Consider the following 22689-nt stretch of genomic DNA (forward strand, 5'->3'; position numbering starts at 1 on the left):
GTGGCCTAAACAAAAGCTTGTATTTTCAGCACACCTACCATATGAAAAAAAAGACTAAAAGCTACCTTCCACCATCCTGATGTAAATTAGACACCGAAAGTATACACTTTACCTCCACTATTATTGATTTATTCATTTCTGACCTCGTTCCCAAGACAGCTCACTCATTTCCTCCACCAGGTCCAGGACCAATATCTTACTTTAAGTAAAAAGTTTTCACTCAGAAAAGTCTGGTTGACTATTGTATTTGACAAAGTAGAAAATAGAGTTATGGTGCTGTTTTAAAAGAACTGGGGAGGTCTGATTCCCAATCTGCATAATAAGGCTGTCTTTAGCACTGTGCATTAGCAGCAAGTAATTACCTCCAACTAGAATGAAATGAGGGTCAAGAATGGTTCCAAGTAATCCAGTGGAAGTGTTACTTGCTTTATTGAACATGCTAATACAAAGCTGTATTTGGAAGAGTCAAAGAAGAAAAAATGCCCCAAACCCAAATTGCCTTATGAGCTTTTTCACAAGAGCAGTCCAGAGTGGTCTGTACATGATAAATTTAAGAGTTGCGGTTGTTTAGTTTTACCACTTTAAATTAATTCACCTAAGAATTTAAATGATTTTGGGCTTCTGCTTTTGTGTCTAAATTTAATGATGCATTCTGTGAATATAAGGATAAACACACACAGATTTTTATACATGTAACTGACCTATTTTCAAATAGGTGTGCCTATTCCTGAATAAATAGATTGATGTCCTACCAGATTACAAATTAAGTAGATACGATTTATATGGTTTTAGTATGTGAAAGTATTAGCTGATTCTAATTTCTTCTTGTGAAATACTAAGCGAATGAAACATACTTATTAAAACTCAAACTGTTATTGACTTATAGTCATCCATAGTTCTAATCTGGGTGGGTGACAATTCAAAGTCATAACAATAATTTTTTTATTAGCAGCAAATTAGCTTTGAGAACAAAAATGCAATCAGCTCCAGAATTCATACATTTTTTTCTTTCATTAGACATTAACCAACCAAAGTTTAGGGTGAATATGTTTTATACATCTAGGTCAATGATAATACAAAGAATGCTAGCCTAATAGCAATATCTTGAGCTTTTTACCCCACTAACATACAGCAGAAAGCACGTAGAAAATAAGCTCTTTCAACGAAATAAGTAATTAGAAATGACGGACTGTTCAGATTTAAATTTGATGATAATTATTTAAAAATGACAGAAGTATTGGAAGTTTATCATTCAAACCACCTTAAAAGTTTTTCCTAGTATACACTACAACAACAACAAAAGGAACATTACAAAAACTAAGACTTTGAGAGGCCAGACATGGTGGTTCACACCTGTAATCCCAGCACTTTGGGAGACTGAGCGGGGGAGGATTGCTTGAGCTCAGAAGTTTGAGACCAGCCTTGGCAACATAGAGAGACCCCATCTCTAATAAAAAATTTTACATTAGCTAGGTGTGGTGGCATGTGCCCATTGACCCAGCTACTCAGGATGCTGAGGACACTGAGTGGGGAGGATTGCTTGAGCCCAGGAGTTCAAGGCTGCAGTGAGCTATGATCACGCCGCTGTATTCTAGCCTCGGTGACAGAGCTTGACCTTGTCTCATAAAAGGAAAAATAATAATAAGACGTTGGGAAACTTTTAAAGCAGAAGAGAAAATGTGGGCATATGTATAACTTCCCCTCAAATACCTCTATCCTATGCTGACACACTCATATTCCTAAGAAAGATAGCCGGAGAGGATTGCCAGACAAATGCAAACTTTTTTTATCCTGCAGAAGTTTCCTGTCCTGCATTCTTGCCTTCTTATCATCCTCAGATGAGAGGAGCTTAATACATCAGAAAAGTCAGGATACAGTAGGCTATGTTTCAGTAACAAATAAACCCCAAAGAGCGAATTGTTTAACACACTAAGTTTATTCTACACTCAAAGTCCAAAATGAATCAGATGGCCCTCTTCCATCTTATAGCCTGCAAGGTTGCTGTGTCAAGAAAGAGAGAGCTAAAAGTTTCCATGAGGCGTGTCTATAAGGGCCAGGTTTAGAAGTGCCTTGTGAAACCCCCCACCTTTGCATGCATCAGGGCCTAGCCATGTGATCCCAACCTAAGGCAAGGGAGATTGGGGAGTGGGTGGCCCACAAGAGGATGTGAAGTGGATCTTACCACTGTCTCTGCTGCGGGAGACCTTCTAGCTCCCTTAAGCTCATCTGGCTTAACAGCCAGCTCTGTCTTCTCTCCTCAGGGCTGTGCTGTGGGCCCTCTGATTCTCTAGAACCAACATCCCTTCAGAGAAAGAGAACGTTCAGTGAAAGAGGAAGAGAGAGAGATGGAATGACAGCACTAGCTCTCATACAAAGTCCCAAAAGCATGGAATTCCAGAATGGAATTCATTCTGCACATCATTTTCTTCAAGTGGGGAGAGAGAGAGAGGTATGGGAGTGGGGACAGAGAGAGAGAGAGAGAGAGAGAGAGAGAGAGAGAGAGAACTACTGAAATAAGAATTTACCCTTATATTTGGAATAAGTAAGAATATAAATAAGAATATCCTTCTCACTCTACTTTCCTTCCTCCCACATAACTACTCCCACCATAGTGAATATGATAGAGTGTATATCTGATTTCTTTACTCCAAAAAGATATCAAGAACCTTAAGCTTTCTTTCTGAGCCACTCCTCACTAAGCTTATCCTCATTTCTTAAAGTATAACTATAGCTGGGCCATTTTACATTCTACTGAATATTCTGTGACACTGTGGTCATCAGCATGAATGACACTTTGGGGACTCATCTAACCAATATTTTGGATGTCTCCCAAGTGCCAAGTCTTGTACTAACTCCATCCTGAGGCTGTGCTTCTCTCAAAGAGCTTGTGGTCTAGCTGGTGTCATCCAAATACTGACAGATACATTACAGGAAACACAGCTACTGTTGCTTGTAACCCACACCCTGAGGTGTGCTGCCAGGTATGTGCTCAGCCACACATCACACACAAAAATGCCTTCTGAGGTACCAGTTGTGTACTGCTCTAGAGTAATCACATCCAAGATGGGATGGCACATACATTAAAGACCAAAGCTTTGCTCTTCTCATGAGTGTTAAGAACTGGGAATTCGTTTCTTCCCGAGGCCAATTCTCACAGTCTTGATCTGTCAGAACTTACTGGGGTTGAGGAGAAAGATGATGTTCTGAACATGGCCTGTTTGGGCCTGTTTGGGGCTCAGTTTTGCCATCAGAGATGTTCCTTGCTGGCAGTGGCACTGGCCCACAATGGATAGAGCTGGCGTGAGGAGTGGAAGCTGTAAACCAGGACACCAGAAGTTGCCCTTTTTAGACCCAGCTCTTCCACTAACTCACTCTGTGACCTTGGAGGTGTCCTTTTGGCCTCTCTGAGCTCCAGTTTTCCTCATGTGTAAAATCAAATGTTTGGACTAGACAAGGGCTCTTTCAGCTGTGACACCCTGTTATTCTGGGCATCTGTGTTCCTGCCTCTGTAATTGAGGTCATCAGTCCTATGTCATACTGGGTCTGCAGGGAGGATGAATTGGAGCAGAGTCACCAGGTTGATCAACTCGAGAGGCATCCCTCCCACAGTGACTCACCAGGAGAAAAACCATTAGACCCATCACCTCTGGGACTTGTTGACACTGATTTTCGTTTTTTTCTATAACTTCTAAATGCTCACAAACTGAAGAAGGCAATAACCCTTTTTTAGTCAGTGCAGCTACCAAAATGGAAAGAAAGTACCTTTGCACCTGTCGCTGAGCTAGCCTCTCCAAAATGTACTTAGCCCATTGCTGAGGAAGTCTGTGGGTTTAGAGAGAGGACTTTCTAGAAGACAGAGCCCTGCCTGTCACTGGAAGCCCAGCTTAGCATGAGGGGACTTGTCACACAGTACTGTGGAATTACACACCTTTAGAGCTGCCAATAAGTTCAGCCTTCTCCTCACCTTCACACAGATTTCTTCACACACATTTTGCACACAGGGAAGTGAAGCCCAGAGAGGTTGATTAAGCCAAGGTCATGCACGGTATGAAGGACTGAGATGAGAACTGGCATCTTCTGACTCCTGACTGTTAGGCCAGTGCTCTTGCACTCTACCGTGCTAAATAATTCATAGACACATGAATCTGGTATCAAGAACAGTGACATGATAATGGTACAGCCAATAATGGTAGTTACATATACCACATATTTATTTTACATGTATATAATATGTGTATTATATGTAATATATATTCTTTAGTCCCAACTTATAGGTAAGAAACTGAGACACGTAGAGATGAACTAATTTATTCATTTGGTGACATACAGCTCAGTTGTTCCATTGAAGCAATTTTTTAAGTGCTTGTCATGAGCAGGCATTAAACTAGTCACTATGATGGAATTTAGAGTTAAATTAGAGCTCTGCCCTCAAGGAGATGATAGTAATGTATAACCTAAGCCAAAGACATGGGTAACAGTTATATAAGGGAGAGATGGGACCGATGTCAGAAGACAGAGCTGGCTAGATTTGGGGAAACTCAAAGAAAGGGATGTATTTTTTTTTCCAGATTGAATGGGTTAGAGGAGGAAAGACAAGGGTAGAGGTAACTGAACTGAATCTCCAAAGAAGTGTAGGTTGTAGGGCATAGAATAGGGAATGAAAAGCCAGAATGGGCCAAAAATATCTGCATGAAGCCAAACAGCACATCAGTTGACAAGTTTGTTCTTTGACAAGTGCGCAGCCACAACCAAGGGATAGCAAGTGTAAAATGCTTAGTAGTAGGTGAAGACGAGGAATGTGACTAATCTCACGAACCACCTGTGATAAAGAAATCTTTGCTTTCTGATTTTGTTACACCAAAAAAAAAAATAGAAAAGCCATTAGAAAACTTGTAAACCTGGTATCTAAACTACAAGCAAATTGAAACTGACCCAGCTCACTGTTAAGAGTCTCTTTGTGAGGGAAACCAGAGCATTTTCCTGTAAAGTCAACAGGGTTTACAGTTGTAATAGGCCATTGATTCTGAATACACAAATCTGAACAAACCACGGATCAAATCAGTCTCCCTGAAAGATGGCAGCTTCAAAAGGTAAAAGCCAGATGCAACAGAGTTAACCTCCATCACCACTTTAAAGAGGAGCAGAGCTGTGATTGTCTCCACTGAAGAACAAAATGAAGATTGGGTTTAAGCCAGTGTTGTGCTGGTAAATATTTGAACACTGACTGTTTAAAAATGTGTGTGTGTCAAGGACAGAAAACCAAACACCGCACATTCTCACTCATAAGTGGGAGTTGAGCAATTAGAACACATGGACACAGGGAGGGAAACATCACACACTGGGGCCTGTTTTGGATCTGTAGTTATTGGGAGGGTCAGGGGAGGGATGGCATTAGGAGAAATACCTAATGTAGATGACAGGTTGTTGGGTGCAGCAAACCACCGTGGCACGTGTATACCTATGTAACAAACCTGCACATGTACCCCAGAACACAAAGTATAATAGATAATATTTTAATGAAATATTAAAATTAAACTGCCAAGAATGTATATTTAAAAAGGTGTGTGTTTAAGCTTATTATTAATTTTCCCAATAAAGAGCACATAATTTACAAATAACAATAAAATGTTCAGTATTCTTTGTTCTAAATTCCATGTACCCAATCGTTTCTTTAAGAATGTTTTTATTGATTTTTGCCAAATTATTGTATCTATAGCTAACCTATGGGTGCAACTGATGAATGAATATAGTCCCAAAATAATATGGTTAGTATTTTTGGTTACCTTAGTAGGTAAGAAGAAGGTGAAACCAAAAAGACCTGTGTTGGAACCTCATTTGCTCCTCCATAATATTAGTAACTTCCTTACTGAATCAAATAACAGTTTTCAAATAATAGACCACCACTATTTTTCCAGTTTTGTGCTGCTCATGATGTAATGTCTACAAACACAGCACACTTTGAAGTTTAATATGTAATATTTACATTTTCTCCATCCATTTCTAATAATCAACAGTATAGCAAATCAAGTCCTGATTGGTGGTGTTTGCTTATTTCTATGATATAATACTTCCTTACAGCTGGTTTCCAGCTCCCAATGAGATATCACTGAATGCAGAGCTGGAAAGAGAGGTACCGTAGCAGGCCTTATATAACATTTTCACTATTATGCACTGAATATGTGCGTGTATGTCCCCAAGTCTATATGTTGAAGCCCTGACCCCCAATGTGATGGTATTTGGAGAAGGCTCCTTTGGTAGGTAATTAGATTTATGTAATTAGGTTTAGATGAGGTCACAAGTGTGGGGTCCCCATGATGAGATTAGTGACCTTATAAAAAGAGACCGGAGTATCCTATAACACTGTAGTTAAATATGAACAGAATTAACAATAATACATAGATTTAAATAGCTAGAATGAAGATATTGAATGGTCTCAACCCAAAGAAATGATCAATGTTTGAGATGATGGGTATGCCAATTACCCTGATCTGATCACTGTCCATCATGTGTATTGCAACATCACTATGTACCCCATAAACATGTACAATTATTATGTGTCAATTTTTTAAAACTAAAAAGTTTAAAAAATTAAAAATAATTGTAGAAAATAAAAACACCATGGTCACAAAAAAATAAAAATTAAAAAAGAAACCAGAGTTTGCACTTGTGCACCCCCTCGCCTGCCCCATCACCATAAAGGAACACCCTCCCTGTGCTTCCTCTTTCTATTGTTACCACTTACTCCCCATCCTCTCACAACTACTAATCTGTTCTCCATCTCCATAGTTTTATTTCCAGAATGTTATAAATATAAAATTATACAGTACATTAACTTTTGAGATGACTTTTTTCACTAAGAATAATACCCTAGTTTCGTCTACATAGTTGCATGTATCATTTCTTTTATTTCTGAGTAGTATTCCATTGTGCAGATAAACCAGAATTTGTTTAACCATTCACCCATTGATAGACATGTGGGTTGTTTCCAGTTCTTTGCTGTTATGGATAGAGCTGCCATAGACATTTGTGTATTTTGTATATAGATTTTATGCGAATATAACTTTTCATTTTTCTGGGATAAGTGCCTAAAACTGATTGCTGGGACCTATGATTGGCGCAAGAAACTTCCAAACTATTTTCCAGAGTGCCTGTATTATTTTCCTTTCCCACCATCATGTATGAGAGATCAAGCTTCTCTGTATTCTCACCAGCATTTTGTGTTGTCACTGTTTTCCATTTTAGCAGTTCTAATTGCTATGTGCTGATATCTCATTGTGGTTTTAATTTGCATTCTCTAATGGATAACGACGTTGGACATCTTTTTATGTGTTTATTTGCCACCTGTATCACCTCTTTGGGGAAATGTTTCCTCATGTCTTTTACCCATTTTCTAATTGGAGTTTGTTTCTTTACTATACAGTTTTAAGAGTTCTTTATATATTCGAGATGTAAGAAATTTGTCAGATATATGGTTTGCAAGCTTTTTCTCCCAGTCTGTAACTTGTCTTTTCATTCTCTTAAAAGAGTCTTTTGCAGCATAAAAGTTTCAAATGTTGATAAATCATATATCAATTTTTGGTGTCATGTCTAAGAACTCTTTACTTAGATTTACATCCTGAATATTTTCACTTATTTTTAAATAAAAAGTTTTAGAATTTTATATTTTCATTTAAATCCATGATCCATTATGAATTAATTTTTCATGTGGTGTGAGGTTTTAAATCAAGGTTCATTTTTCTGCCCATTGGTGTCCAATTGTTCCCGTGTTGTTTGTTCAAAGTTATCCCTTCTCCAATGAAATTTTTGTTTTTAATATAATTCATTTCATTATAAGTTTTAAAAATAATGCTTGTGCGTAACAACTAGCTCACAAAAATTTAACAATCAGTTCTGGGAGCCAGCACAGGGTGGCTCCAGCACTTTATTGGTTTAAACTATATTGTATGTTATTGATTAGGAGGGAAAAAGTAGTCATATGGATGGTTAGAAATGATGAGTGTTTACCTAAATGCCCATCAGTGATAGACTGGACAAAAAAAATGTGGTACATATACACCATGGAATACTGTGCAGCCTTAAAAAGGAGCGAGATTATGTCCTTTGCAGGGACATGGATGGAGCTGGAAGCCATAATCCTTAGCAAACTAATGCAGGAACAGAAAACCAAACACTTCATGTCCTCACTTATAAGTGGGAGCTGAATTATAAGAACACATGGACACATGTGGGAGAACAACCCACACTGAGGCCTGTTGGAAAGTGGGAGGGGAGGGAGAGTATCAGGAAGAATAGCTAATTGATGCTGGACTTAATGCCAAGGTGCTGAAATGATCTTTGCAGCAAACCACCATGGCACACGTTTACCTGTGTAAAAAGCCTGCGCATCCTGCACATGTACCCCAAGCTTAAAATAGATGTTGAGAGGAAAAAAAGAAAGAGTGAGTGTTTGTAAATAAATACATATGTAAAACATTATAAGAACATAAGGGCCCAGAGGTAGCATTAGTATCATTTTGTAGAAAATTAAAACTCAGGTTTGAAACTCACATTTTACTAGCCTCAGAGGGAGGAAGCAGGAATGGGATGTAATTCATGCTATTACTTTGAAATTGCTTAATTAATAGATTATTTTCAAACTAATTGGGTGGCCAGGAAGCTTAGTAGAATAATCATGGCCTCTGTGGTCAAATGGAGCTGGGTCTGAACCTTGGCTCTGACATTTACCAGCTTTGAGGAAATGCCTTATTCACTATCAGTTTCCCTTAGTGTTAAAATGGAGAGAACTCCAAGAATCAAAAGCTATATTCATTAATTTAACAAATACTTGATGAGTTCTGGTCTATGGAGAAGGGATTGGGGATACAGCAATGAGCAAAACAGTCATGATTTTTGCCCTCAAAGAGTTTACAATCCAGTGAAGAGGTGGACAGTGAACAAATAAGCACATTAGTGAAATGGTATTACCATTGTGAAAAGCGGCATGAAGGAAAAAAAGCAGATGTAGTGGTTTAAACAGACAAACCCAAAACTTAGCACTTTTCCAAGCACACAGAGTTTGCTCAGTGGCAGCTATTCATATTACTGCAGATTAGGGTACGATTAGTGTGGTCCAGGCAGAGGTTTGGAGGCCTGTCTGGGGACCTGACCACTGTCATCTATGTTGCATACTGTAATGCTCATTTTGCACATCAATCTGAATTGGATGTGCTTCAAGGTCCTCCTCTTACTCTAAAAATCTGTGTTCCTTAGGTGTGTCAAACAGGGATTAGTTTAATTTCTTACAAAAGGTGAGGGTAAATTCAGCAATCAGTATGGTAGTAATTGACTCAGTTGCTATATGTGTTTACATTTTAATAATGTTTTTCTGTGATATTCCCCACTCATGCCTTTTTTAACATAGAGTAAATTATGAAAAAAGACTTAGGGAGCTAGAATCCTAGGACAATGAGATGACTCTGAAAGTGTTTACAAACTTTACTTCCAACTACTGGCACACATTGAGTTTTGTTTGGAAGTAGGTTATTATTAATCAATGTTTTTTTGTAATGAAGTCCATAAATCCACATTAAATACACATCCAGACTTCTTGAGGTCCTTTTGATTTTGCATATTTTCATCAGAATAATTCACTAAACTCAATCTGAGTCTTTTTCATTTTAAGTTTTTGCTGATTTTCTACTAAGTGTCCTCTGACTTATTGAGCAACCAGTGCAGCATTGGCTGCCTGGGCAGGGAAGGAAACAGCAGGGGTTATATAGGAATCTGAGTGATTCTGCTTCTTGGCTCTTGTTCTTATGGTTTAAAATAGAAGGAATAATCTTTTCACCACTGTCTCCACCACCTCCAGTTTTCAGTGGGAAGATGAGGAGTAAGAGGTACATGGTTAGTTATTTTCTGTTTCCCTTCTCTAATTTCTTTTATTATCAAATTGGTACTGCCTTATTGTAGGAAATTGGGAAAATAAAAACTAAAAAAGGGAAAATAAAACTTATCTGTAATGTTACTGTTAGGAGTCATCGTCTCCCATACTTTGAAACCGGATATGATAATTCCATAATTTCAGGGTTAGACTCTATTAAAGTCTCTACTTATGCCTCTACAGCACTTTAAGACCAATAGAGGAAGCCATATACCTAAGTGAGGCCCAAGATCCAGAAAAAAAAAAAGAAAAGAAAGCATAGGTAAGAGCCATATAATGCTGTGTTACAGGAACTATTCTAAATACATTGCAAATATGTTTCTTACAACCACACTCTATTATTACCCTCATTTTTCTATAGTCACAAAAGCAGTAAGAGGTAGAACCTGAATTCAGGCCCAGTAAGACTGGCTCCAGAGTCCACAGGCTAACAAACTTTGTAATACTACAGAAAGCTGAGTAACCATTTCCAACTTCCCTCCTCCCCTAGCTCATTCCCTCCTGTGGGAAGCCTACACTTTCATTGTTTCTTTGTCTCACTCATGGCCCAATATTTACTTTGTTCCTATTTTGACTTGTTGTGTGATGTCTGTCACTCCTGTCAGTGGAGGAACTGTTTTGTCCCATTATTCTCTTTCTAGAACTTTCCCTCCACTCACTTCTACTGAAGGCCAGCTGTATTTCCATGACCTGCCAATACAACTCACAACCATCTCCTCCAAAAATCTGGTAGTTTTACACAGTAACCAAAGTCACATACAATCTTTAGCATAGATTTGGGGAGGAGGGAGGGAAATGATTAAGTGCGGTGTTTAACATGGGGTTGGGGAGGTTTTGTGAGGTCACTGAGGGTCCGACGACTCCTTCAAACCATCAGGGAGATAACCTCTATTGATTGGTGTATTTTTCTTGAATTTTTTTCTATGCATACACTTTTCTAAAGTTTATTTTATTTATTTTTATTTTACCCAACTTGTAATTTTGAAATAACTCAAACCTGGAGAAAAATGGAAAGTATTTTAACTGAAGACTTTTTACCTTTACCTACTATATTAGTTTCCTGGGACTGCTATAACAAATTACCACAGACTGGGTAACTTAAAACAATATAAATGTATTGTCTCACAGTTCTGGAGGCCAGAAATCTTAAATGGAGGTATTGGCAGGGCCATGCTCCCTCTGAAGGCTCCAGGGAAGGATCCTTTCCTTTTCCTACCTTCTGGTGATTGCCGACAGTCCTTGGGTTCCTTGGCTTGTAGAGGCATTCCTCGAATCTTTGACATCACATGGCACTTGGCCTCCTTCCTCATGGGTCTCTCTGTCCCTCCTCTCTTCTTATAAGGAATGCAATTGTATTGGATTTAGGGCCCACCCTAATTCAGTATGACCTCATCATAATTTAATTACATCTGCAAAGGTCCTATTTCCAAATAATGTTACATTCTGCAGTTCTGAGAGGACATTAATTTTGGTGGATATTATTTAGCTCAGTACACCTGTAGTCACCAATTGTTAACATTTTGACACATTCGTTTTATTTTTAACTCCAACTGTCCACCCACCCACCCACCCATCCATCCTCACACACACAGATTTTGTTAATCCATTTGAAAGTACTAGACATGACACTACACCCCTAAATACTTCAGCTGCTGGTATCTATTAGGCAAAATAACATTTTCGCTACATAACCACAATACTACTATTATCTCATATTTAATATGAATCCCATAATATCCGATATAGAGATCATATTCATATTTCCCCATTTTTTCTAAAAACATTCTTTATAGCTGATGGATTTTTCCCCCACAAATCAAGATTGAATAAAGGATCAAACATTGCACTTATTTATTATGTTTCTTTAATCTCCTTTTAGCTAGAAGGATACCTCGCTTTTTTTAATTTTTCATGATACTCATATTTTTGAAGAGTCCAAGCCAGTTGACTTTGAGAATGTACCATATTCTGGGTTTGTCTGATCATTTCTTCATTATTAGATCAGATTAAGCATTTTTGAAAAGAGTTCCCCGCAGGAGACGCTGTCTACTCTGGTTGCCTGACATCCTGAGGCTCATGATGCCCGTTTGCTCTGCTGGTCATGATGCCACATGTGACAGCTTTGCTGGGGTGGCGGCAACCGCTTCTCTGCACAGTCATGCACATTGTTTCCCAGTCTTTTCAACTCTCGCTTCACATCGTCTTTTTATTTGTCCTTTTTTCTTCAGAGCTTTTGGATTTCTGATTAGAAGTGTTTAGAAAATATCTGTAAGTGCTTTTTTGTACACATTTAACTCAGTCCGGCAGTAGTGTTAGTTTTCTTCCGCTATGTAGTTGTTTGGAGGAAAAAATTTTCACCTGCTGAAATGTTTTGACTCTCATTTTCTAAAGTTTTATATTGACTTTGTGGGGATGTCATCACTGTTTCATGTTTTAATTATCTTGCGTTTTCCTGTACCAACAAAACCAGATGATTCTGTGTAGACAGCAATAAGGTTTTAGAGAGACTTAATTGATTTCTTGGATCAAGAACACTGTCTTCTGTTGACACAGTGAAGTTTTTTGTTGTTGTTTTTTTGTTTTTTAATAGTAGATGGCACATTTTGTGTGATGGGATGGGGGTGGTAGTGTGCTGTCTCTTCTTCCTGAACAACCCTTAATTTCATGATCATGGTATCTCCCCTGCCAGGTAAGTATGTCATATGGCCTCCTTCCTCATTGGTCTCTCTGTTTTGAATGCTTACTTTCTTCTGCTTCACCATCTAGGCTCCAAGGGCACCTCCTCTCCCAAAAAAGCCATGCCTGGACCTGCACTCTCAAGCCTCCTCCCTTTGTGCCCCAGTAGCTCTGATCCACCAGGTCATTGACCTTTCTCTCTTTATCCTCTCAGGTGTGACATTTTCTTACCGGGAATGATTTTATCTGTGCTCTTCCACTTGCTAGGCCTCACTGCCTCCTCCTCTGCCTCCTCCTCTTTGCCAAGCATTCACCGGCTGACTTTCGGCTCCAGCAAGGCCTTCAGCGCTGGCTCTGCAGGTGTCAGATTTTTATTTCCCCACCTCTGTGTAAATTCAGATTTGTAGCATTCTCAGTCTCTTACTTATGTTGTAGACAGGGGTTATGGGTGGTTTTATTTGCTATCCTTGTTCATCTCTGTAGGTTTCAGAGAACATGTGTGGAGAGATCCATATTTAATGTCTAGAAACTCCAAGCCTGCATATATTTATTCTTGCTGCTTTGATGTTTTGATGTAAATACAATTATATATTTCACATTTTAAAATTCTGACATGGTATAGTATAATTGTATCTATCTTTTTCTCTCTTTTTGTGGTTTGCTTTTTACATTTAACTCTTTCATTCTTCTGGAATTATTCTTTGCTTTGGCTTGTTTATCTAGACCTTCTGTTCTTGCCTATGGGCACAATAGAACATAAGGAAACATGGCCTAGTTTGCTTAGCAATGGACAGATGCTTAGAGAAATGAGGGGCAAGCTTTGGCCTTGTGCAAATGTGGTGGATGCTTGCTGAAGCGCAGAGTGGACAGGACCAGGGATGATCTGACTGTGAGTTTCTTAAGAAAGTTGAGTGTTGGTCTCTTGGCACTTGAGGCTCTCATTTCTGCAGAGTTTGTCAAGGACCAACGGCCCATCAAATCTGGCTGCTTGTCAGATGCTTCAGAACAGCTTTATGTCTTGTCACATTCTTAGTCACTGGCTTATGCCCCAAATTCTCCACTAACGTTTCAGCTTCTCATGAGCAGTGACTACTTCCTTGTCTCAGAGGACATCTAGCTGGAGCCTTGCCCAAAGTGGGTTCTCAGAGACAATTCAGTCACCTTTGAAAGCTTCTATCCTGAGATCACAAAAGGGGTTACAACAAAAGCAGTGTATTTTCCTTTGGAGACGGATAAGAAAAGAAAGACACCTGAGCGGGAGTGGGTAGAAGAAGTATTATGCAGCCTCTATGAGGCCTGACCCTTTGACAGCCTCAGGTCCTCTTCATTTTCTTCAATACCCCACTTTTAAATATACACTATGTTGGTATATTCACCAGTAGCTATCAGGGAAAATTCAGCCAGATATCGGGTGAAATTCACCCCCGATATTTCACGTAGTTTCTTTTCTATTTTCCCTAAGTGTCAGTCGGTCTGAGAAATAAAGGGACAGAGTACAAAAGAGAGAAATTTTAAAGCTGGGTATCCGGGGGAGACATCACATGTCAGCAGGTTCCGTGATGCCCCCCGAGCCATAAAACCAGCAAGTTTTTATTAGTGATTTTCAAAAGGGGAGGGAGTGTATGAATAGGGTGTGGGTTACAGAGATCACATGCTTCACAAGGTAATAGAATATCACAAGGCAAATGGAGGCAGGGCGAGATCACAGGACCACAGGACGGGGCGAAATTAAAATTGCTAATGAAGTTTTGGGCACGCATTGTCATTGATAACATCTTATCAGGAGCCAGGGTTTGAGAGCAGACAACTGGTCTGACCAAAATTTATTAGGCAGGAATTTCCTCGTCCTAATAAGCCTGGGAGCGATATGGGAGACTGGGGCTTATTTCATCCCTACAGCTTCGACCATAAAAGATGGCCAACCCCCGAAGCGGCCATTTCAGAGGCCTACCCTCAGGGATGCATTCTCTTTCTCAGGGATGTTCCTTGCTGAGAAAAAGAATTCAACGATATTTCTCCCATTTGCTTTTGAAAGAAGAGAAATATGGCTCTGTTCCGCCCGGCTCACCAGCGGTCAGAGTTTAAGGTTACCTCTCTTGTTTTCTGAACGTTGCTGTTATCCTGTTCTTTTTCAAGTTGCCCAGATTTCATATTGTTCAAACACGCATGCTCTACAAACAATTTGTGCAGTTAACACAATCATCACAGGGTCCTGAGGCGACATACATCCCCCTCATCTTACGAAGATGATGGGATTAAGAGATTGAAGTAAAGGCAGGCATAGGAAATCACAAGGGTATTGATTGGGGAAGTGATAAGTGTCCATGAAATCTTCACAATTTATGTTCAGAGATTGCAGTAGAGACAGGCATAAGAAATTATAAAAGTATTAATTTGGGGAACTAATAAATGTCCATGAAATCTTCACAATCCATGTTCTTCTGCCATGGCTTCAGCCGGTCCCTCCATTCGGGGTTCCTGACTTCCTGCAGAAAGCAGCCACCCAGATCCTGCCCGAAGTTGCCCATAAAGCACTTTTGGAGAGGCTAGATTATGGATCCAATTAAGAATCCCTGTACTGCAAATTCTAAAGTTCTGGCCTAGAGTCCTGTGAGCTATCCTGCTTACAATTGTTACTAGCAGCACACACATGTCTCTGGAATGCGAAGAAGAAAGAAAAAAAGACAAGGAACGTGAAAATTGGGTGATGTCAGCCTCCCTTGGATAAAGCCCATCAATGGTTTTCATTGTCTTGGGGTGAGGAACAAATCCTTGATAGAACTAATATGATCCTCCATGATCTGCCCATGCCGCCTTCTCCAGCATCATCTGCTACTCCAACTCCCTTGCTGCCTGTGCACCAGCCCCTGGCCTCATTTCAGTTTCTCAAACATTCTGAGCTTCTTTCCACCAGAGGGTGTTTGCATATGCCGTTCCCACTCCCTTGAATGCAGCTACTCCCTCTTTTTCCTTAGTTAATGCTTGGATATCTTTCAGATCTCAGGTCAAATTTCACTTCTTCAGAAAGTCTTCCTTGATTGCCCCTGTTAAACACACATTCTTGTAGCAACTGGTATTTCCAGGGTATTTCTTGCAGTTGTAATTTTACATCTTTTGCAGGGTCCTTTTACTAATAATGTTCTTCTCCCTACCCCACCAGGCTACAATTTCCATGAATGCAGAAAAAGAGTTTATTTTTGCCAACCATTGAAATCCATGTGCTTAAAATAAAGACTGGCCCACAGAAGATGCTGAATAAAATGTTTGTGGTATGCATGAATGAAGTGATTAATGTAAAGCAACTGGTGAGGGCTAAATGTCCAAAGTGAAACAAACACTGAACAATCATGTAGGCAGATAAACAGTTGGCTGATTTTTTTTAAGAAGTGATTCTTTGGTAATCTCTGACAAAGATGCTGATACAACTGAATATATACATAGCTGAGAGACAGATGGAATAACTAAGATGAAAGTTGAGGAAGAAGATTGAACAAAACATGATAAAAAATTCAGAGCTACTTGCTGGTTGTGTCTGAAAGTAGTGTTCATTTCTAGTCATATCGCTGCCATAAGGAGTTGAAAGACAGTGAGGAGAAAAGCCTAAGAAGGGCAGCATGGATGACCCCAGATTAAATGTCAAGCCACTCACAGAAAGTTTAGAGACTTACAGTGGAAAGTCAAAAGGACTTGAAGGAGATGTAATTACAGATTCAAAGCTCAATGACTGTATGTGATAATGTCACCTGCTTTCATTTTAACAGAGACCTATTTACACAATGCAGATCCTAAAGTGCAGATTTGGAAAATTCCAAGTAAATTTATGAAGGGTTTTTCAATAGCAACAAAAGAACCTAAAAGCATAGGGTAGTGGAAGGTATTAAAGTTGCTATGTGAGAAGAAACACTTGAATCTGTGAATGAATTCTCTTTCACCCTCACTCTCTGTCTCTGTCTAGTGCATGTGCACACACATTTATATTTTAAGAAAAGTATTTTTAGAAGGAATCTAACAAAGAGATGGTGTTAATTTGGATCTTTTAAACCAAAATACTACATATTCATTTTGCATTTTAATCAGATTTTTTCATAATCTGAAAGAAACAGATATATGGCTGCTGTTTTCCACTCATTAGTATATTCTATTGACTCCAAAACTAAAGGGAGATTTATAATTCTTTACTGTTTACCAAGAGCATTGAAGGAAAAAGCTGAACATTGACTTTTTTTATAGAGTTGTTATATTATACTTCATATTGGTATGGAGATGGAATTGGCTTCTCAAAGCATCATTCTTGAAATATATCTCTTCCTCCCTATAGAAAATTTGTGCATAGGATTACCAGGGACATTTGTGGAAGATCTGGTGAGAATAGAAAACCAGGGAGGTGGGATGACTAGGAACAGACTGAGCTAAGGCAGGGTTAAGTGAGACCCTGATAGTAAAGAGAGATTGCCTGTTAGCTAGAAGTTATTGAAATACTTATCACATTAAAGAATGTGGCTAAAGGCTCAAATAGCCATATTTTTTCCAGCTAGAAAATAAATCAAATTTAACATGACCAGCCCACGCTTTATTGATAATAGACTAAGATCACACAGCGAGTGCTCTGGCTAATAGGATTGCTGTGCAGTTACAACCATTGCTATTACAGCAGATACAGTTCTGCCTGCAAAGGCACCATGGAATTGTGCATGACCAAAGACTTGAGTTGTCCTGAATGTCTTTGACCTTGAAAAGAGGAGATAAATGGGACTGAGCAACATGGGGACTAAGGAAGACATTCAGGACAGACCTGAATTGAAGAATGGGGTGTCCAAATCACAAGCCTGGTCTGGTTTAGGTGACCATCATATACAGAATGGATTGGGAGTCTTAATTTAGTAGGCAGGTGGAGCTGCCAGAAGCACTCAGGCTGCTTCTCAAAAGCAGGTGAATACTTTATGTCCTCTTTTGTCCATTTCCACCTCTACATTTGTGGTAGACAGAACAAAGGTCCACAAAGATATCCATGTCCTAATCCCCAGAACCTTTAAATGTGTTACCTTACCTTACCAAATAATTTACCACGACTTACTAAAAGGGACTTTGCACATGTGATTAAGGTTAGGGGCCTTGAGATGGGGAGATAATCCTGTATTATTCCATTGTGAACCCAACCTAATCATATGAATCCATAAAAGGGGAGAACCTTTTCCCACTGAAGTTGAAATCAAAAAGAGATGTGCCCCCAGGAGAATGGTAAGAGAAATGCAATGTTTTTGAAGATAGAGGAGGGGGCCATGAGCCAAGGAATGTGTGTGGTCTCTAGAAACTAAATAAAGTGAGGAAATGGATTATTTTTTGGAGTCTTCAGAAAGGAACACAGCCCTGCCAACACTTTGATCTTAGCCCAGTGAGGCCTGCTTTGGACTTGTAACCTACAGAACTTTAAAATAGTAAGTTGTATTGTTTTAAGCCCCTGTATTTGTGGTAATTTGTAACAGCAGCTATAAAAAAAAATAAAGTCTCTTAATCCAAGTTGATAACGCCACTTGTCTGAAGTACTTACTGCAGTAATCTTACGGATTTCCCTGCTTCCAGTTCTGTCCTTCCACAACCCACAATTGTTCAGAGTTGTCCTCTTGAAAAATACCAGGTCAGTGATATTTCGTGGCTCAAAACTATCCAATGAATCCATGGCCCATAGCATGAAACCCAGAATTCTAAATGGCCCCTTTTCAACCTCTTATCACACTACTTTCTCTCTCATGGGCCCCGAAGTTCCCCCTCAGAGATAAAGTTTCTGATTTTTATAATTGCTTGCTTGATATTTTTTCATAACGTGACTGCCTAGGTATAATTTGATTTTGTCAGTTTCTTAAACATTATATAAGTAGGATAATACAGTAACTATTTTTTATAATTATTATACTTTAAGTTCTAGGGTACATGTGCACAATGTGCAGGTTTGTTACACAGGTATACATGTGCCATGTTGGTTTCCTGCACCCATTAACTCGTCATTTACATTAGGTATTTCTCCTAATGCTATCCCTCCCCCTGACCCCACCCCATGACAGGCCTCAGGGTGAGATGTTCCCCACCCTGTGTCTAAGTGTTCTCATTGTTCAATTCCTACCTATGAATGAGAACATGTGGTGTTTGGTTTTCTGTCCTTGGGATAGTTTGCTCAGAATGATGGTTTCCAGCTGCATCCATGTCCCTGCAAAGGACATGAACTCATCCTTTTTTATGGCTGCATAGTATTCCATGGTGTATATGTGCCACATTTTCTTAATCCAGTCTATCATTGATGGAAATTTGGGTTGGTTCCAAGTCTTTGCTATTGTGAATAGTGCCACAACAAACATACAAGTGCATGTGTCTTTATAGTAGCATGATTTATAATCCTTTGGGTATATACCCAGTAATAGGATGGCTGGGTCAAATGATAATTCTAGTTCTAGATCCTTGAGGAATTGCCACACTGTCTTCCGCAATGGTGGAATTAGTTTACCACCCCCCCCACCAACAGTGTAAAAGCATTCCTATTTCTCCACATCCTCTCCAGCATCTGTTGTTTCCTGACTTTTTGATTATCGCCATTCTAACTAGCGTGAGACAGTATCTCATTGTGGTTTTGATTTGCGTTTCTCTGATGACCAGTGATGATGAGCATTTTTTCATGTGTCTGCGGGTGCATAAATGTCTTCTTTTGAGAAGTGTCTGTTCATATCCTTTGCCCTCTTTTTGATGGGGTTGTTTTCTTCTTCTAAATTTGTTTAAGTTCTTTGTAGATTCTAGATATTAGCCCTTTATCAGATGGGTAGATTGCAAAAATTTTCTCCCATTCTCTATATTTCCCATTCACTCTGACAGTAGTTTCTTTTGCTGTGCAGAAGCTCTTTAGTTTAATTAGATCCCATTTATCCAGTTTGGCTTTTGTTGCCATTGCTTTTGATGTTTTAGTCATGAAGTCCTTGCCCATGCCTATGTCCTGAAAGGTATTGCCTAGGTTTTCTTCTAGGATTTTTATGGTTTTAGGTCTAACATTTAAGTCTTTAATCCATCTTGAATTAATTTTTGTATAAGGTGTAACGAAGGGATCCAATTTCAGCTTTCTACATATGGCTAGCTAGTTTTCCCAGCACCATTTATTAAATAGAGAATCCTTTCCCATTTCTTGCTTTTGTCAGGTTTGTCAAAGATCAGATGGTTGTAGATGTGTGGTGTTATTTCTGAGGCCTCTGTTCTGCTCCATTGGTCTATATATCTGTTTTGGTACCAGTGCCATGCTGTTTTGGTTACTGTAGCCTTGTAGTAGAGTTTGAAGTCAGGTAGCGTGATGCCTCCAGCTTTGTTCTTTTTGCTTAGGATTGTCTTGGCAATGTGGGCTCCTTTTTGGATCCATATGAACTTTAGTTGTTTCCAATTCTATGAAAAATGTCATTGGTAGCTTAATGGGGATGGCATTGAATCTATAAATTACCTTGGGCAATATGGCCATTTTCACCATATTGATTCTTCCTATTCATGAGCATGGAAGGTTCTTCCATTTGTTTGTGTCCTCTTTTATTTCGTTGGGAAGTGGTTTGTAGTTCTCCTTGAAGAGGTCCTTCACATCCCTTGTAAGTTGGATTTCTAAGTATTTTATTCTCTTTGTAGCAATTGTGAATGGGAGTTCACTGATGATTTGGCTCTCTGTCTGTTATTGGTATTTAGGAATGCTTGTGATTTTTGCACATTGATTTTGTATCTTGAGACTTTGCTGAAATTGCTTATCAGCTTAAGGAGATTTTGGGCTGAGACGATGGGGTTTTCTAAATATAAAATCATGTCATCTGCAAAAAGGGACAATTTGACTTCCTCTTTTCCTAATTGAATACCTTTATTTCTTTCTCTTGCCTGATTGCCCTGGCCAGAACTTCCAACACTATGTTGAATAGGAGTGGTGAGAGAGGGCATCCCTGTCTTGTGCCAGTTTTCAAAGGGAATGCTTCCAGTTTTTGCCCATTCAGTATGATGTTGGCTGTGGGTTTGTCATAAATAGCTCTTATTATTTTGAGATACGTTCCATCAATACCTAGTTTATTGAGAGCTTTTAGCATGAAGGCTGTTGAATTTTATCAAAGGCCTTTTCTGCATCTATTGAGACAATCATGTGGTTTCTGTCATTGGTTCTGTTTATGTGATGGATTATATTTATTGATTTGCATATGTTGAACCAGCCTTGCATCCCAGGGATGAAGCTGACTTGATCGTGGTGCATAAGCTTTTTGATGTGCTGCTGGATTCAGATTGCCAGTATTTTATTGAGGATTTTTGCATCAATGTTCATCAGCGATACTGGTCTAAAATTCTCTTTTTTTGTTGTGTCACTGCCAGCCTTTGGTATCAGGATGATGCTGGCCTCATAAAATGAGCTAGGGAGGATTCCCTCTTTTTCTATTGATCGGAATACTTTCAGAAGGAATGGTACCAGCTCCTCTTTGTATCTCTGGTACAATTCGGCTGTGAATCCGTGTGGTCCTGGACTTTTTTTGGTTGGAAGGCTGTTAATTATTGCCTCAATTTCAGAGCCTGTTATTGGTCTATTCAGAGATTCAACTTCTTCCTGGTTTAGTCTTGGGAGGGTGTATGTGTCCAGGAATTTATCCATTTCTTCTATATTTTCTAGTTTATTTGCATAGAGGTGTTCATAGTATTCTTTGTATTTCTGCGGGATCAGTGGTGACATCCCCTTTATCATTTTTATTGCATCTATTTGATTCTTCTCTCTTCTTCTTTAGCAGTCTTGCTAGCAGTCTATCAATTTTGTTAATCTTTTCAAAAAATCAGCTCCTGAATTCATTAATTTTTTGAAGGGTTTTTTGTGTCTCTATCTCTTTCAGTGCTGCTCTGATCTTAGTTATTTCCTGCATTCTGCTAGCTTTTGAATTTGTTTGCTCTTGCTTCACTGGTTCTTCTAATTTTGATGTTAGGGTGTCAATTTTAGATCTTTCCTGCTTTCTTGTGGGCAGTTAGTGCTATAAATTTCCCTCTACACACTGCTTTAAATGTGTCCCAGAGATTCTGGTACATTGTGTCTTTTTTCTCATTGGTTTGAAAGAACATCTTTATTTCTGCCTTCATTTCATTATTTACCCAGTAGTCATTCAGGAGCAGGTTGTTCAGTTTCCATGTAGTTGTGCGGTTTTGAGTGAATTTCTTAATCCTGAGTTCTAATTTGGTTGCAGTGTGGTCTGAGAGACAGTTTGTTGTGATTTCTGTTCTTTTACATTTGCTGAGGAGTGCTTTACTTCCAACTATGTGGTCAAGTTTGGAATAAGTGCGATGTGGTGCTGAGAAGAATGTATATTCTGTTGATTTGGGGTGGAGAGTTCTGTAGCTGTCTATTAGGTCTGCTTGGTGCAGAGCTGAGTTCAGGTCCTGGATATCCTTGTTAACCTTCTGTCTCGTTGATCTGTCTAATATTGATAGTGGGGTGTTAAAGTCTCCCATTATTATTCTGCGGGAGTCTAAGTCCCTTTGTAGGTCTCTAAGGACTTGCTTTATGAATCTGGGTGTTCCTGTATTGGGTGCATATATATTAAGGATAGTTAGCTCTTCTTGTTGAATTGATCCCTTTGCCATTATGTAATGGCCTTCTTTGTCTCTTTTGATCTTTGTTGGTTTAAAGTCTGTTTTATCAGAGACTAGGATTGCAACCCCTGCTTTTTTGCCTTCCATTTGCTTGGTAGATCTTCCTCCATCCCTTTATTTTGAGCCTATGTGTGTCTCTGCACATGAGATGGGTCTCCTGAATAGAGCACACTGATGGGTCTTGACTCCTTATCCAATTTTCCAGTCTGTGCCTTTTAATTGGGGCATTTAGCCCATTTACAGTTAAGGTTAGTATTGTTGTGTGTTAATGTGATCCAGTCATTATGATGTTAGCTGGTTATTTTGCCCATTAGTTGATGCAGTTTCTTCCTAGCATTGATGGCCTTTACAATTTGGCATGTTTTTGCAGTGTCTGGTACAGGTTGTTCCTTTCCATGTTTAGTGCTTCCTTCAGGAGATCTTGTAAGGCAGGCCTGGTGGTGACAAAATCTCTCAGAATTTGCTGTCTGTAA

General features: G+C 39.1%; 1 protein-coding gene across 3 annotated transcripts in view, besides 1 other annotated feature; it reads left to right on the top strand.

Moving 5' to 3' along the window:
• ST6GALNAC5 (ST6 N-acetylgalactosaminide alpha-2,6-sialyltransferase 5) overlaps positions 1 to 22689 on the top strand; it is a 200067-nt gene that overhangs the window by 78643 nt on the left and 98735 nt on the right. The gene's annotated exons all lie outside the window — the stretch shown is intronic.
• Positions 14344 to 14845: an enhancer, noted in NCBI's record as "NANOG hESC enhancer chr1:77426151-77426652 (GRCh37/hg19 assembly coordinates)". NCBI's record gives its function as "activates a minimal SCP1, AML or CMV promoter by ChIP-STARR-seq in primed H9 embryonic stem cells {active_cell/tissue: H9 hESC(primed)}" and the evidence as "EXISTENCE:reporter gene assay evidence [ECO:0000049][PMID:30033119]".

Source organism: Homo sapiens, chromosome 1 (genome assembly GCF_000001405.40).
Source record: "Homo sapiens chromosome 1, GRCh38.p14 Primary Assembly".
Taxonomy (NCBI): Eukaryota; Metazoa; Chordata; class Mammalia; order Primates; family Hominidae; genus Homo; species Homo sapiens.